Genomic DNA, 16,864 nt, shown 5'->3' on the forward strand with positions numbered 1-16,864 from the left:
TCACATATTATTTCATGAAGAGTGGCTTCGGACTTTGGGGTAGGGTCTGGTAGGATCCCAGGGCCCCTTCCCTTGGCATCATCATTGTTTCCCCTCCATGTTCAAGTTCAGCATCTCTGCACCCCTTGCCTGGCAAACCCCATCTTCCTGTCCAAAGCCAGACTTGGCTCCCTTTGCTCCAGTGAGTGGCCGTTGGCTGGGAGGCTGGGTCTGTGCTGTGTGGGGGGTGTTTGGTGTCCTAGGAGGAGTCTCTGTCCTGAGCAGAGACAGAGGAAGGCAGGGCAGCCTGCTCAGAGGATGAGCCCAGCTATTCTGGGAAGCAGGCAGGAAGTGGCAGCTCCAGGTCCGGGTGTGAGGGCAGTAGTGCAGGTCGTGGTCCCAGATGGCCACGGAGGTGTCAGCGTTTCACTCCCAGCACGTCACGCCACGTCCCTTTCCTCTGCTTTGTTCCTCCTCAGCTGTGAACTGTCTGGGACTGGGCCAGGAGACAGTCCTGGGATAGGGAAAGAAAAGAGGGGCTTCCGGGGGTGGGGAGCGGGGCTGGGCGGCTGCTGGCTGAGCCAAGTGGACTGGGAGGTGTGGACAGGGAACCCTGGCGGGGCCGGCCAATGGTGGCGTGATGCAGCCTGGCTTGGGAAATGCCCATGGAGGTGACAAGTGACAGCCGGGAACAGACCCACTGCCAGGGCTGCCTCTCTCTTTAGATATGTCCTGGCATCTGACTTTGGTTTCCTGGTGTTTAAAGGCTAATTGGGATCGGTCGTGGTGCCTCAGGCCTGTCAATCCAGTACACTGGGAGGCCAAAGTGGGAGGATTGCTTGAGCCTAGGAGTTCGAGACCAGCCTGGGCAACATAGCAAGACCCCATCTCTAAAAAAAAAAATTAAAATATTAATACTAGCTGGGTGTGCTGGCACATACCTGTGGTCCCAACTACTCGGGAGGCTGAGGTAGGAGCATCACTTGAGCCCAGGAGTTCAAGGTTGCAGCAAGCTATGATCTTGCCACTGCACTCCAGCCTGAGTGACAGAACGAGACCCTGTGTCTAAAAAAAAAAAATTTTTAAATAAATAAATAAAGGTTTGTTGGACATGTTAGCTCACGCCTGCAATCTCAGCATTTGGGGAGGCTGAGGCAAGTGGATTGCTTGAGGCCAGGAGTTTGAGACCAGCCTGACCTGCCTGGGCAACATGGTGAAACCCCGTCTCTACTAAAAATACAAAAATTAGCTGGGTGTGGTGGCTCACATCTGTAGTCCCAGCTACCCTGGAGGCTGAGGTGGGAGGATCACTTGAGCCCAGGAGTAGAGGTTGCAGTGAGCTCAGATTGTGCCACTGCACTCCAGTCTGGGTGTCAGAACCAGGCCCTTTCTCAAAGGAACAAACAAGGCTAACATGTTGGGCTTTCTCTGCTTCTGGGCAATGTCCGTGAAATTGAAGCCGCACTGGTGTTGTTCCACCCTTCCTTCCAGCTGGTCTCTGAGGCCCAGGCCAGATGCTTCTCTGGTTAGCAGCAGATTCTAGGCCAGAGCCTGCCTCCAGGTCCTGGGAAGGCTGGCACGCTCAGATGCACTCCTGGGCGTGGCCTTCCTCCGATCACAGTGTGAGCGAATCTCCCTGCCCATCACTCTGCTCCCCTGGCCCAGACCAGGCCATGCCTCAGGGCTTCTGCACGTGCAGTTTTCTCTGCCTGCAGGGTCTGTCCCTAGCTCTCTACCCGATTCAGATCCCACACCAGCTCCTGGGGCAGCCCTCTTGCCCTGCCTCTCCCCGAGACGTCACCCTTTCTCTTTTCCCCATTGGTGGTGGTTTTATGTGTTCATTTACGGTTTATTTTCTCTCTCCCTGTGTCTGTTATCTGTCTCTGCACCCCTGGAGCCCAGCGTGGTGCCAGGCACACACTACGTGCCTCCTGGGTTGGGGGCAGCAGGGACAAAAGCCAGGCATGGGATGTGGCTCTTGTGGGATGCACCTTGGGTGTGACTGTCACGGAAAAGGAGGAGACGTGGGGTGGGGAAGGGGGCAGCCCCTACTGTTCCTGGCAGCAGGGCCAGAATTGAGAGCCAGAGGTTGCCACTGGAGGGCTTCCTGGGGAGGCAGCTGGCACCGCCTGATTCCTGTTTCTGAATGCCCTCTCACTCTCCCCCACCCCCATGGAACCAGAACCACCTCGTCAGGCCCAGCAGCCCTTCAGGGTCAGTCTCTGCATGGGTGGTAATATGGCTTACCTGAGTCCTGGTCAGTCTGTGGCCTGGGAGTCCACCCTCCATGACTAGTGGTTTGTGGCAGGTGACGGGTGAGTGGTCTCCATGCTCCCAGCCGCTGTGTAGAGGTGCCAACCTGCCCCTCCTGCCAGAGCTGGGCTCCTGTTGGGCGGGACTGAGGATACCGAGACAGAAATAAAACTGCTAAATGCATCTGTTGTTGAATAATTCAATGCCCCATGCCAGGCCTGTTGCAAAATTAGCCACTTCCTCCCTCCAGGCCCATGAGTGACTCCTGGATTTGGTGAAAGCCAGGCCTAGTGGAATTGTGGCCCGGAAGGTTCTCTGGGAGCTGGGAACCTCCATGCAGGAGCCCAGGGGAGGGGGTGCTTGGCCACATGCGGGCCCCTCAATCTGCCCTGTGGAGCCCGGCCTGGCCTGCAGCCCCCTGTGCAGGGAAAAACCCGCGGTTTTCCCTGGTGGAGGGCACAGGTCAGAGCGGGCATGGACAGGGCATGAGGAAGCAGTGCAGAGGAAGCGTGAGCATTTGTCTCGGGCCAGCTGGAGAAAGGAAATGGGGCTGCTTCCTGGAGGGCAGAGACATCAGGGGCTGCGCTGTCGGGCTCGGCGTGCAAGATTTGTGTCTCATCCCAGGGTTAGGTGCCTCCCAAATGCCAGGGCTTCCCATGGGCCATACACACTCAGTCGAACAAGATTTGCACAAAACCTGGGCCATAAGCTCGCTGAGCACTTGGCCTGCCCAGCCGGTGACAATGAGAACCGCACATGCTCAGCCTTCCCTGGACTCAGGGCCCTACGGGTGCTGGAGCCGGGGCGGGAGAGGGCCGCAGGCTGCCCCTGCCTCTGCATCCTCCCCGTCGATGCCTGGGGCCACTGGGATTGGCAGAAAAGGGATGCCCCCGAGATGGGCAGCCAGGAGAACTGTCTGTCTCCTATCCCAATATGCCTACCTCCCTCTCTGAATCCCCATTTCCCCCTCATCCTTGCCCCCACACACCCAGATTTGCAATGGGACACACGGCCACCTGGGATGACAACCCCTCCCAGTCTTCCCTCAAGACAAGTGTGGCCATGACCGCATGGGGCCAGCAGGGTGTGAGTTGAAGTGTCCCGCAGTGGCTTCCGGGGATGTGCAGCCCTGCCCTGAGGCCCTCTGGCCGCCTCTTGCTCTCTGAGCAGGGATGTCCGTGCCTTGGGCCTGAGGCTGAGCTGGGCTAGGTCCCTGGGTGTCTGGGGCCACACTCTCTGGTCCAGCCTGCTGTTACAGGGGATGCCTCAGGGCCACCACTGGTCATGGAGGCTGGGGGCGCCTGCCTGTCTGCCCGCCTGGAGTTCAGGTAAACAACCCCACTGAGGAGGCACCCCTAGCCGTGGGAGTTGGCGTGTCCTGCTCCCCAGGGCGGTCTGTCCCCTTGGCGAGATCCTTGCTGTGTCAGCAGAGGGTTTTCCTGGCCCAGGGTCTTGGGGAGCAGATGATGGGGCTTTAGGAGCTCTGGCTCTGGGAAGGCAGTGGACCCTGGAGCAGGGATCTTGGGAGGATGGAGAGTTGGCGGCTCAGGAAGGAGGCTGCTCAAGCCCCGGCCTGCTCACTGGGAAGAGCGGTCCTTGGAGGAGAGAGCTCCCGAGGAGAAAGCCATGATGCTGTGCTGCGCTCTGGGCCACCAGGTCTTGTCTGGGGGGAATCCTGACCCTGTGTGATGTGAGTGCAGGGACTCCCCCACCCTCCGACCAGGACCTTTGTACTCTCCTGGCCGTGTCATTGCACAACTCCAGGGGCCGTCACTCACCTGAGCCCTCTTTGCTCTTCTTGGCTGTTCCCTGATATGGCCACGCAGAGACTATCTCTAAGTGTCAGTTCTGGACTCAGCTGGAAAGGTTTCATGACCTCAAGGGACCCATGGGACTTGAGGGTGGGGCAGCTGTTTGCCCTGTGGATCAAAGGGGAGTGTCTGGGATGGGATCCACCTGCCCTGCCCTCAAAGTGCTGGGCAGTCCCTCAGAGCCATAGAGCCTAGGGGGTCTTGGGCCCTCTTCCCCAGGGCATGGCCCAGGCACCTGCTGGCCTGAGGTCCCTGCTGGGCCCAAGGCATCCCTGCCGTGTTCAGAGTTCCACAGGCACCAGTCCACCATGCTGGGGCCTACTGGGAGAGACAGCCACCCGCCTGCTGTCGGGAGCCTCCATCACCAGAGCCTGGGGGTGTCCCAGCCACCCTGGCCGCTGTTTCTCTGCCTCCGCACCGGCCTCTCTCCTGAGTTCCATCCATCCCTGCAGGTTGGGTTCTCCTCTCTCCTCTGGGATCTGCACAGGTTGCCATTCTCTCTGCCTAGACTGGGCCTCCACCTCTGAGAAGCCCTCCCTTATTGCCCCTTCCAGTGGGCTGGGAGAGGGAGGAAGGCCAGGTGCAGAAAGAGAATTCACCTGCCCGGCTAAAGCCCCACCTGCCTATTTCAAGGCCTCTGATGCCCCCCGGCCTGCAAGGTGTGTGCATGGGGCCTGTCCCATGCTGGCTCACCCAGCTGCTCAGAGAGGCAAGTGGCTCCCGGGCCCCACAGTGACACTGGGGGACTCTTTGTCTCCATTTGGGGGGTGTGCAGGTCACTCCTGGTGCCCTGGTCAGCTTCCCCAACCTGAGCTGCCCTCAGCTCCTGGCTTGGCCCTCCACGGAGTGGGAGATGCCCCCCTCCCCTGCCATTATCGTACCTTACCTCGCTGGCGGCCATGGAGGCAGTGAGAAGAGCCGAGGGAGCTGGCCGGGGCGCATTTCCGTGCAGGACACTGGCTGCCTCCCAGCTCACTCTTAGCCTGGTCATAGAGCCCGGCAGCATCTTGCCAGGTGCCTGTGGTCCCAGATCCTGGGGCTGCCCCATCTCTGGAATATTGAGGTGTGGCTGGGGCTGATCTGAGGATGAATGTGGCTCAGGTTGCCGGGTGCCCTTGACGCATTCCCATGTCCCAGTGGGGAAACCAAGGCTCAAGGAGGCCACACAGCAGCTCCATTTCCAGGGACACCCAGTGTTCTCTGTAGTGGGTAGGAGGTTTCCCTATACAGGAGACCAAGCTACAGCAAGAAAGACTTGGCCGGGCGAGGTGGCTCATGGGCGCGGTGGCTCACGCCTGTAATCCCAGCACTTTGGGAGGCCAAGGGGATCACGAGGTCAGGAGATCAAGGCCATCCTGGCTAACACTGTGAAACCCCATCTCTACTAAAAATACAAAAAATTAGCCCGGCGTGGTGGCGGGCGCCTGTAGTCCCAGCTACTCGGGAGGCTGAGGCAGGAGAATGGCATGAACCCGGGAGGCAGAGCTTGCAGTGAGCCGAGATTGCGCCACTGCACTCCAGCCTGGGCGACAGAGCCAGACTCCGTCTCGAAAAGAGACTTGGGCTAGATGTGAGGAGGGACTTTCCCAAGTAGGGATGAACCCTGAGGACCCACACCCTGAGCCGCCAGTGGGTCGTGTTGACCTGGCAGCTCCAGGGCACCTGAGGCCTTCGCTGTCCTTCCGCACCTCGCCCCCTTCCCGAGTGGAGGTGCTCTGGGAGCTCTGCCTGCTTCCTCAAGTCTTTCTTGTTTTTTTATGTTATTTTATTTTAGATTTGAGGAGTACACATACTTGTCTGTTACGTGCGTAATGGTGGGGTTTGGGCTTCTCGTGCGCCCATCAGCCGGATATTGGACGTTATACTCAATAGGTAATTTTTCAACCCTCCCCCTCTCACCCTCTCCACCTCCCCTTTGGAGTCCCAGAGTGACCTTTCTCCGTCTTTCTGTCCAAGCATCCCATCTGTCTAGCTTCCACTCATGAGTGAGAACGTGCCGTGTTTGGTTTTCTGTTTCCGGTAGTTCACTTAGGATCATGGTCTCCAGATCCATCCGTGTTGCTGCAAAGGACATGATTTCATTCACTTCTTGGAGGCTTTAACGCCTGCCCTGTGTGAGGGAGGGCGGAGCCCCTGGCCCAGGGGCGGGGAGGCCTGTCCACCCCTCCCACCCGTCCCCGAGGCCCCTGCTGCCCAGCAAGACCACCACCCTCTGCTCCAGGACAGCGCAGCCGCCATCAGTGGGGGTGAGGGGACAAGGCTGCTGGGACCAGGCCTCGCCCAGGCAGAGCCTCGCCATTTCTGGGGTGGGGGGTGCACAGGTGCATCTGGTCTGCCCAGCCCCTCCTCACCCTAGGCAGGCCTCTCACAGAGACAAGACGAGTGTCCTAGGGCAGATAGGGCCACATCCATGGGGTCACTTCAGTTTGTCCTCCCGGCGCCTTCTAAATATACTCTCTGTGGGTGTCTTATCACAGCCCAGGGAGCCAGGCTTGGTGTGGCCGGCCCTGGGAGCACAGAGCCCCGTTCCCAGCAGCCCTCGGCCCTGGGGGGCTTGTGCTCTGCCGGGCCACCTGCACCCTCCGGGCCCCAGGAGAAGCTCATGCCTTTCCTGCTTGCACCCCAGAGCCTGGCCACCCCTGTCCTCTGCTGAGGCCCTGACCACCTCTATGTGTGCCATGGCTGCAGTGACAGCCCAGACCCCAGGGGCCGGGCATCCCACAGCTCTCCTCACTGAGCCCCTGGGCCTATCCGCCCACGCCCAGGCCAGGGCTCCTGCTGGAATCTCCCTGTGGAAGGCCAGGCTGCCTGGATGCCCACCACTCCAGGCTTACTTCTGGGTTGTAGTTTTCGGGGTGCTTCGAGGTGCTGTGGGGACCTGTGATGCTGTCAGGGAGACCCGGAGTCCAGTTCTCGCCAACCGCTCGATGCTGTGTGACTTGAGGCAGGTCCCTTAACCTCTCTGAGCTTCCTCCTCTCCTGTGAACAAAGGATGGGTCCACTTCTCAGGCTTCTCATGAAGTTTAGAGGCGACAGGAGGAGGTGGGCTTTAAATGGCTCAGTCCCAGCGTCCCCTCATGCCTGGGACCGCTGACCCACCGGGATTCTTGGGGGCCACCATAGAGCCTGTTTTTAAAGGGGATGTGGCGGCCAGCTCTGGGGGCACACGTTCCTGTTTGAATTCTCAATCTCCGGGCTCAAAATTGGCCCCCAGAAAGCCTTTGAGATGGACAGGGAGCTGGACCTTCCCAATTCGGTTGCCCTTGCTTGATGTTTACATGCCACTGTTGGGTGCTCCTGATTGTGTAGCGGGTCCCCTGAAACCAACACACAGGTGCAGACACCCACATGCCATCCTGCCAGAGCCCTGGGTTCTCAGCAGGACTCTTTGCCGGGATCCTCATGCTACGGCCACCACCTGATTTTGTCGATAAAGTTTTATTAGGACACAGCCATGCCCGGCCGAATATTGCCACAGAGGCCACCTGCCCCACCACGCCTAGGACATTTCCTCTCTGGCCCAGAGGTGTGCCAGGGCTGCACTGGGCTCTTCTGGTGGGGAGGGACATTGTTCTGGCCCCTCCTGATCTCTCCCCCACCTTGCCACGACCCCCCAGAGTTTGCCTGGTGTCACCGGGAAGCTTCCTGGCTGCCCGAGGGTCCCCCAGCACCTGTCCCTCTAGGGCCTCTGAAGGGCTTTGACGTGACACTCGGGATGGCATGGCAGGGCCCTCAAGCACGGCTGTGTTCACCCCCCAGGCTGCTCCTGGAAAGGAGGGATCAGGGCCCAGGCTCCACGCTCCGCACTGAGGTGTGGTCGAGGGCCCTGGGCGTCCGGGTGAGATGGGAATGAGCCCTTGGTAGGTGCCAGGCGGGGCCAGCCCTCATCCCCACTGCAAGGCCTGAGCGTCCAGGAGCCCCGTGCGCAGCTGGACCCATCAGTCCCCACCCTGCAGGGCCGTTGAAGAGGGAATGCACACCTGTCACCTCTTGGTGCGGGGGCATCCAGGTTCCTGGCGATGGGGATGGGGTGAGATGCACCTGATGGACCTCCAGGTGGGAAGCTCCTGGGACACCCTGGAGGGCTCTGGTGGGAGACATGGCATTCTGTCTGCACCGAAGGGGGCTCAGGGCTGAGAAGCCCTGGGACGGGTTGGATTTGGGGCGCGTTCCCCAGGGCCCCACGCGTGTTGAGTCCCCGCTGCGTCACTGTCTGGCCTGTGGCGCCTCACCTCTCTGTCTGGCAGGACTCAGGCAGAATGGAAGTAAAGGCAGGACCTTGTCCCAGGACATCCAGGCATGTGGCGTGGCAACCAGGTGGGATGGCAGGGTTTCCCCCTGGCAGGATCCCCACCTCCTGCACCTGTCCTGACTTGGTCTTCTGGGGCAGCCCCTAAGACGCTTCTTCAGGGAAGAGGGACCGGTTTGGCCAGTGGGACCATGGCCCTGGGAGCATATGCCTGCACGTCCTGCCCGCTCACACCTGCCTGCTGGGGGGGCCATGCCTGCGCCCGCAGCTCACGTCAGAGCCCACCCCAGGAGGCTCCCAGCGATCTGTCAACCTGTGCTGTTGGCATGCAGCCTGGGGGTGAGGGGTGGCGGAACGCTGCCTCAGTACCACGTCCTGCTCAAAGGCCACTTGCGAGCTAGGCTGAGCCTGTGGTGTGCGGTGGGATAGGAAGGAAAAGAACAGAGTCTAAGGAGCCTAACTCACTTCCAGATTCACCCGGAGGCCTGCATGGAGGAGGCGGCACTGAGACTTCATTCACCGAGCTTGAGGGTTTACCCTAACATTCATTCACACCATCAGTCATTCAGCAAACACTTCACAAACGTGCATCCCACGCCTGGCACTGGGCCTTCGGAGGGAGGGAATGCAGCTGGTGGGCCCCTGCCTGGGGAGCCCCTGCTCTGGTCGGGGAGGCAGTGGTGGCAGTGGCTGCCTGGCGGTCCATGAACTGGTGCAAGCCAGAGCCGGAGGCCTCCTGAGAGCCTGGCAGGGAAGCCCAGGCCAGGGCCTCCGCAGAAGGAGGGTTTGGGGTCCAGGCTTCATGTGGGGGGTCTTGTAACATGGGAGGGTAGACGCTGCCTTGGGACAGGAGAGACAGAGGCGGGGGGACCAGGGGAGTGGGCTGCAGTTGGGGTGCAGGCCTGGTGGCCCCGGCAGGGGGACCAGCCTCTGGGGAGGTGCTGCAGGCACAGGAGTTCTGTGTGGACCCAGCCGAAAGCTGGCAGGAAGGGACCTGTTTCTTGGGGTTCCCAGTCCAGATCTGTGTTGGAAAAAGTGTCAGCTGAAACCCCAAGAGGCTGGGGACAGCCTTGGTCCTGCTGTGGGACACAGGTTTAATCTCCAGATGGCTCCTGGATAGGCGGGCTGGCGGCTCTGTCTAACGGGGACAGCACACTTGGGGCTTCGGGAGACAATGAGGGCAGAAATCTTACCCACCGGCCACACCAAGTCACCCATTGTTGTGTCCCTTGGGCTGGGATCCCATGGCTTTCAAGAACTTTTTAAAGAAATGAGACTCAGCTGCCGCGGAACAAGCCACAGGTAAAGAGTATAAGACAGCGTGAGGCATGGGGTGGCCACGGGAGCCCTGGGCCAAGGAGGCCCAGTCTGGTGGGGAGGCGTCCATTCACCCGGAGCTGGACGGGGAGGACCAGGCTGTGGGTCTGTGAAGCGGGTGTGGGATCACATCCACGCTCCTTCTGTGGTTTGTGCCCTGTTGTGGCTGCCAGGGGAGGGGCTTCCAAGGCCCTGCCAACCAGCTGGGCAGTGTGGACAATGGCAGACAGGGTGCTGTGTGGGGGCCTGAGGGGCAATGGTTGGGGGGCAGCTGTTGCCGTTCTGGTGAGAAGTGGCGGTCCCTGAAGGGCTGGGGTGCTAGGGAGCCTCATGGACCTACTCCCGACGTGGCAGCTGCCTGCTGCAGATGGGCCAGCCATGTCCCGCCTGTGCCGGGAATCACCACCCCCAGCTCCCTTCTCTCCAACATGACAGGGTTCGGGTGATGCCCTGTGGGCTGAATGGTGAGAGAGGCGTCCCTGTGCTGACACCAGTGGGCGTGGACGTGACCCTCTTTTTAAAAGAATTTTTTCAGATGCAATTCCATTAAGGATCTGGAGGTGAGAGGATGAAAAGGAAACTCTGAGCTTTGAGTACATTTTTAATTATGTTTTAAAAATTAAGACATGAGGCCGGGCATGGTGGCTTACGCCTGTAATCCCAGCACTTTGGGAGACTGAGTTGGGAGGATCGCTTGAGCCCAGGAAATCGAGGCTGCAGTGAGCCAGGATCATACCACTGTCCTCCAGCCTGGGTGACAGAACAAGACTCTGTCTCAAAAACAAAACAAAACAAAACAAAAAACCAAAAAACAACAACAACTAATATATGTTTTTGACCAATACCTAATTCTGTTGTTTAAGAATTCAAAATCTACCAATAGTGATCATAAGTAATGTATTAAATACTTACATAGTACAGCAGGTGTTGGCCCCCCCCCACAACATTGGTTTCCATCCCTGGAAGCTGCAAATGTGACCTGACATAGAAAACACCCCTTTGCAGCTGAGGCTGAGGGTCCCGAGAGGCGTGATTGCATTATCCAGGGGGCCCAAGTCCAGTGACACGTGTCCTCCTAAAAGACAGGACAGATTCAACAAAGGAGGATCCGGCCACATGCTGCACAGCACGGGAGTGATGCCGCCACCCACCCAGGACGCGGGAGCCCGCAGAGGCTGGAAGGCTGAAAAGGGCCCTGTCGCCCCCACCCCCCAGGATGACGTATGGCCTGATGTGGCATTCCTGCCTCAGGACCATGGCACCAAGTGGTGGCGCTGGGGCCCCTGGAGTCGGCCAGTCTGGGCACGTCCCATGCTGTGTCTGAGCCTCAGTGTCCCCATCGATTGGTAGTGCCTCCTGAACCCCAATCCAGGGGGCTTCTGGGGGGCAGCCTGGGACCAGACGTGCCTCACCAGGGCTTCTGTCTCCTCACCAGGACTTCCATGATGTGACACCTTCCACATGGGGTTCAGAGCGGGGAACCTGTGCCTAGTGTCCAGCCCAGCGTGGGGCCCTCGGTGTGGGCCAGGGCTCACCCCTTTGGGAGGGGTCGGGAGATGCCTGGCCCAGGCTCCATCCATGCAGAGCCAGGAAGCAGGTGAACCTGTGGGGACCTTGGCGACCTCCAAACCCTGCTGAGGCTGCCTGCTGACAGCCACTGGTGAGGGGGGTGACAGCCACTGGTGAGGGGGGTGACCAGCTGGTAGCTTTTTCTGAGGTGCAGATTCAGCCCTGGGGAACAGCCCTGGCAGGCTGTGAGACCTCTGCCCCTGGGCGTCCACATCCCAGGGCTCTGAGCTCAGCAGCCCTGGAGCCGGCAGCCACATCAGGGATGGAGGGAGACCTGCTGGTGACCAGTGAGTGAGCAGGGGAAGCCTGTCCTCTCCAGCGCCCAGTGTTTCCTTCCTGGGGCACATGGGATTTGGAGGCATTTGGAGTCTCCCAGGATGACTTTTTTTTTTAAGCCCCTAGAAGTGGTTTGGGGTTTAAGCGTCAATATTTAATCTCTTGAAGTTACACATTCAAGGCCCTATCCTGCCTTCGGCTTTAGGTTCGCTTCACAAACCCATTGTCTGCTTATCAGCCTGGCGAGGTCCCGTCCCCAGTAGGGGTCTTTGAACATTGCTCGATCTCATTCACCAGCCACGGGGAACATTTTGAACCCTCTGATGCTTGCTCTATGAATGTTGTTTGCTTTAAAAAAAGTTTTTTTTTTATTGTGATAAAATACACATAACACACAATTTACCGTCTTAACTCTGTGTCAGGTCACGGCCCAGTGGCAATAGGTACATTTACATGGTTGTGCAACCGTCACCACCATCCACCCCAAAACTTCTCTCCCAAACTGAAATTCTGCACCCATGAAATCCCACTCCCTCTCCCCGGCCCCGCCATCCTGCTCTCCGCAACCGTGGATCCGTCCTCCCCATGTCCACAGATCCCCTCTCCCTCGGCCCCGCTGTCCGCTTCCCTGCGACGGTGGATTTCGCTGCTCTGGGCCTTTGCGCTTCTGTGACTGGCACTGTGTGTTATCCGGTGTCCTCAAGGTGCCTCTCTGCTCATGTCCTTCCATGCATGATGCTTTCAGACTGACAAAACTCTTCAAGTATTAACGTAATTTTTAATGTTTACAGATTCAAGAAATTAAGCATACGGTCACGAGAGTGCAAAGTTCTGTGAAACGCTCCAGTGGTTACACGCCCCGGGGTTTCAGCTTCGACCCTGGGTGAGTTCCATGGTGCAGTGGCTTCCAGCTGGAGTTCTAAGGGCACCCCTTGAGCTGCCCACGTGTCTTTGCACGTGAAGTAGGTGGCTCTCTTTAAGGTTCCTCAACTTTATTGGGAAACATCTCAGGGTTACAAAACGCCCCCCATGGGCTAAAGAGGCTGTCACTCACTGTGTGTGGGGCCTGTCCCCGAGTGGGCATGGAAGGCCAGAGTCCCGGCACAGCCCCCACCCGGACTGGATTTGCTTGGCGGGTCACCTGGATCAACCAGGCCCATTTAGGAGCACCACTCAGGGGCCCTAGTGTGTGCGGCAGGGCAGGTCATGGAGTCTCCAGCCTTCAGCTCGCGTTAGCCCCAGGCCATCTGAGCCGTGGAGCCCACCCAGGCCCGCTGCCTGCACCCCGGGGGAGCCCTCCCACAGCGTCTCGGGCTATGACCCTGGCAGGGTTCCTGCATTCTCCTGTGTTCCCGGGCACCCGGGGCTGAGATGTTGAAATGATGTCGGATAATTCACCGGGTGCCTTCGGGGCTGGTACTCGCCGTCACTGCTCCTGAGGCCTATTTGCTGTCAAGGGGAACAAGTAGGAGGTTGTTTTCTGGGGTGCGGTGGGCTCCCCGCTCATGCAGCTCCCCGCCCCCCGCATGACCACGCCCTCTTGGGAGCTCGGGTGGGACAGCATTCAGGGGACCACATGAGCTGGGGGGGGGTCGGTGTCTTCTCTCCCCCACCCCTTCGCTAGCCTGTCCTGCTTCCCACTCCGAGTCCAAAACACGCATAGGATTCGTCCTCTCCCAGGGCCTTAGTTTCCCGGCTCTGCAGAGTGGGGGGCTGTGACTGCCTGGCCTTGGAGCTGAGGCAGAGGGGGTGGTAGGTGGCCCTGCAGAGGCAGGAGGGGACACAGGCACCCCAGGCCCTGAGTGCCTCAAGGGCAGGGACCCCAGCTCGGCACCTGTGAGGTTCCCAGCTCCGCCCGAGACAAGAATAGATAAAGCGGTAAATAAGATAAAACTCTTTTTATCTGGAGTAGATAAAAGTAAGCTTTGTCATATAATTCCTTCTGAGGCTAGCACGGTATATCAAAATATCGGAAGAATCATTTAGCCTTCAGAATATGGCAAGGCTGACAGCCAGCCTGGCCCATGGGCACCTGTCCCCACCATCTGCCTGGCCTGCGGGGGAACGTTCCTCAGCCCCTGCTGGCTCCCAACCCCCGGGCCTGGAGCCCTGTCTTCTGCCTCAGCCGCGATTCCACTGCACGGGACTTTCCCAGGCACCTCTGCCCAGGTAGTTGGGGTGGACGCCCACTTGGGTGCACACTCTGTGGGGGCTGGTCCAGGACCACCCATGTGCAGTCTTCCCTGGCCACATCCTGTATTCTCCCGCAACGCCCAGTCAAGAATCTTCCTGCTGCAGTAACTCCACATATCTGAGCCAGCTGTGTCTCCTGAGCACAGGACATGGGCAGGAGAGGCCCCTGCAGCTGGAATCCGCGCCATGAAGCCCAGGCGCGTGGTATTTGCAGCCAGTCACCAAGTTTTCAAGCCCTCACCTGCGGCCTGTGAGTGCCCACCCTGCACATGGTGCTAACCAGCATCCATCACTGCTTTCTTTTTTAATTTAATTTAATTTTTTTTTTTTTGTGGTGGAGTCTTGCTCTGTCACCCAGGCTGGAGTGCAGTGGCGCGATCTCGGCTCACTGCAACCTCCACCTCCCTGGTTCAAGCAATCCCCCTGCCTCAATCTCCTGAGTGGCTGGGATTACAGGAGCACACCACCACCCACGCCCAGTTAATTTTTTCATATTTTTAGTAGAGACGGGGTTTCACCATGTTGGCCAGACTGGTCTCGAACTCCTGTCCTCAGGCAATCCTCCCGCCTCGGCCTCCCAAAGTGCTGGGATTGCAGGTGTGAGCCGCCGCGCCCGGCCCCACCACTGCTTTCTATGCTGTGGCCGAGGTCACCAACTGCCACTGTGATGGACGGCTGTCACCCAAACAGCACGAGAATCGAAAAGCCGTGATGGCAGATGCAGAAGGCAGCGTCGCCTGTGGTCTTTTAGAAGGGCAGCTGTGAAGTGGGGTTATCTCAGCTTCCACATTGCATCACGGTGCCCCTGTGAAGGGCAGAGGAGCTGCAGGTAATTCTGTTCGCTCGCCTCTGCCTTGGAGGAAGTTTACAGTTTTTTTTTTTTTTTTTTTTGAAAGTTTAAAGCTTTCAACCTGGGCCTGGAGGCTGCAGGGTCAGCAGACCTGGGTCCTGCCCATGGCCCCCTTCCCTCCTCAGGCCTCCATTTGCTCATCTGAGAGTGGGGGGAGTGCAGCGCCTTCCGTGCAGGTCACTGAGAGGCTGGGGCAGTGGCGTGGATTCGGGTGCATGACTCGCAGACATGGCTGTCGCTTGGCTGAACGGTGGCCCCTGAGGTGTCTGTGTCCTTGTCCTGTGAACAAGTTAGGTTGTGTGGCCAAAGGGGCTTTGCAGGGTGACTGAGGGATGGCTCGTGAGAGGGGAGGTTGTCCTGGGTTACCCGGGTGAGCCCTCACTGTGATTGTGAGGATTCTTCTAAGAGAAGCAGGAGGATCTGAGTTGGAGGAAGAGACGGGAGGATGGAAGCCAGGCTCGGCGACGGGAAAGCTGCTGTGCCACCCTCACCGCAGCCCTATCCCTGCTCACGTGCACCAAGACCAGAGCCTGGCAAGTCGTCTCATACCGAGGGTCAAAGGGGCCCAGGGCCCAGCCTCCAGGGACCCCAGCCATGCCGGGTCAGGGAACCAGGCTGCAGTCCTGTGTCTCCTCCTCAGTTTACCCCAATTGTGACCTCAGAAGCCCTTGGAGCCTCAGTTTCCCTACTTGTAGCATGTGTTTGATGATAGTGTGGCAGTGATGTCACAGTCTGGCAGGGTCTCGTGGGGGTCTGTGTTACTGTCTGCAAAGCACTGGCTGGGCCAGTGGTCAGTGAGCAGGGGCGTGGGTAGCGGGCAGTGGCCTGCAGTCCCCAGGAGCACTTCCTGTTGCTGAACAGACAGCAACTTAGTGGATCCTTCCCAGGGCCCCTGGTGGGTGGTGGGTTTTGCCACATCTTTGCAGTAGACAGCACTGGCAGCTTCCGGCTTATCCAAGGCCTCAGGGTGAAGTCGACGCTCGCTGCTGATTCCCTGCTGGACGTCAGGTGACACTTCCCTCCACAGCCTGGGAAGAAGCACCTGTGGGCCACTTCTTTGTGTTGATAAGGAAACTGAGGCAGGGGAGCTGCCTGGGTCACCAGTGGGCACTGCATCTCCATGTGCAGATGGTGCCCTGGCCCTCTCTGCACGCCGTGGGCCTGGGGAGCAGGCAGGTGGCATCTTCTGCCCCGGGCAGCCCGGCTCTGCTTCCTCGTGGCTGAGCCAGGCTGTGTCTAATCTCACTTCCCTGCTCACTGCAAATCAAAACAAACAGACGTCCAGGAGGATTAAGTGTGGCAGTCATGGCGGAGGGAGCCCTGGTAGGGTGGAGAGAGCCAACAGTTGCACCAGCAAGGGGCAGAGACCCAGCCCAGCCCTGGGGGCTGCAGGGTGTGGGGACAGGGCCTGCAGCTTGGCACAAAGACTCTTCTAAGAACCTGGAGGGAACCCTGCTCCGGCAGTGGGCAGCATGCTGTGTGCAAGGTGAGCCAGTCTGAGCCCATTCCCAGTGCCCGGAATGGTGCCCAGTGCAGATGGGCACTCACCCTTCCAACCAACCTTTGCTTGTGTCCCCGTGAGATCCACAGATTCACCCTACGGAGGGCTCCCCACAGGGTTGGCCCGGAGGCTCCAGCTGTGTCTGTTGAACAAATTACTCTGCATCCACCGCGTGCTAGCGCTGTGCGGATTATAGTCCCAGAGACAGATGAGAGCAGGGGTGGTCAGTGTAGGAGCACCCAGAGGGAGCCTGGCAGGGCCTGGACATCCTGTCCAAGCTGGCCAGGAGGAGTCCTCAGAGCCAAAGCAGTGTGGAGGGTGGGGGTGCAGAGAGCGTCCCTGGCTGGAAGCACCGCGTTTGCAAATGCCAGGCAGCTTATGCAGCCAGCGCTTTGGGCAGGCGGGAGTCAGGGGGACTGAGGCCCAAGGAGGGGTAGGGCTGCATGCCAGCCTTCCAGGTGCTCCTGGGAACCACGTGGCTGATCAGACTTGTGCTTTGGGTCGAATGTCCCAGTGGGGGAGTAACCTCAGGGAGCAGAGGAAGGGTCATGGTGGTGGGGATGAAGCAGCAGCATTGGGGCTTAGAGATTAAATGAAGGAAGTCCCACGGGGCTGATCACCTACTGTGCACCAGGCTGCGTCCCGGGCATGGACTGCAGCCCACAGCCCCACTCTTGGGGTGCTCATGGTCTAGGGGGTGGACAACAGACTCTGGTCCCAGCGATGATGCTTGAGTATAAAGGACACAGTTGGGGTGTTGTGGGGGCCAGGGTCAGACATCAGAGCTGGCCTCTGCCTATGAGACAGGGCCCGCTGGCAGGACCCTCAAGCTGGGCTTTTAGGCTGGGCAGCAGCAGGTGCACGGG

At 59.2% G+C, this 16,864-nt stretch overlaps 1 protein-coding gene and 1 long non-coding RNA gene across 6 annotated transcripts in view, besides 2 other annotated features; one reads left to right on the forward strand and one right to left on the reverse strand.

Moving 5' to 3' along the window:
• KCNQ1 (potassium voltage-gated channel subfamily Q member 1) overlaps positions 1 to 16,864 on the forward strand; it is a 404,098-nt gene that overhangs the window by 64,226 nt on the left and 323,008 nt on the right. The window contains exon 2 of one of the 5 annotated variants that reach the window (NM_001406837.1): positions 12,246 to 12,337. The exons of the other annotated variants lie outside the window; for them this stretch is intronic. Within the exon in view, the coding sequence (NP_001393766.1) occupies positions 12,246 to 12,337 (92 nt within the window). The remainder of the gene's footprint in view (positions 1 to 12,245; positions 12,338 to 16,864) is intronic. 5 annotated transcript variants of the gene reach the window in all.
• LOC124902613 (uncharacterized) lies at positions 228 to 2,358 on the reverse strand. Its single transcript, XR_007062553.1, has 3 exons — positions 2,227 to 2,358; positions 921 to 1,044; positions 228 to 493 (listed from the first exon to the last, which is right to left on the reverse strand). It is a non-coding gene; the product is annotated as an uncharacterized LOC124902613 (long non-coding RNA).
• Positions 10,478 to 10,979: an enhancer, noted in NCBI's record as "H3K4me1 hESC enhancer chr11:2540941-2541442 (GRCh37/hg19 assembly coordinates)". NCBI's record gives its function as "activates a minimal SCP1, AML or CMV promoter by ChIP-STARR-seq in naive H9 embryonic stem cells {active_cell/tissue: H9 hESC(naive)}" and the evidence as "EXISTENCE:reporter gene assay evidence [ECO:0000049][PMID:30033119]".
• Positions 10,980 to 11,479: an enhancer, noted in NCBI's record as "H3K4me1 hESC enhancer chr11:2541443-2541942 (GRCh37/hg19 assembly coordinates)". NCBI's record gives its function as "activates a minimal SCP1, AML or CMV promoter by ChIP-STARR-seq in naive H9 embryonic stem cells {active_cell/tissue: H9 hESC(naive)}" and the evidence as "EXISTENCE:reporter gene assay evidence [ECO:0000049][PMID:30033119]".

This window comes from Homo sapiens, chromosome 11 (genome assembly GCF_000001405.40).
Source record: "Homo sapiens chromosome 11, GRCh38.p14 Primary Assembly".
NCBI lineage: Eukaryota > Metazoa > Chordata > Mammalia > Primates > Hominidae > Homo > Homo sapiens.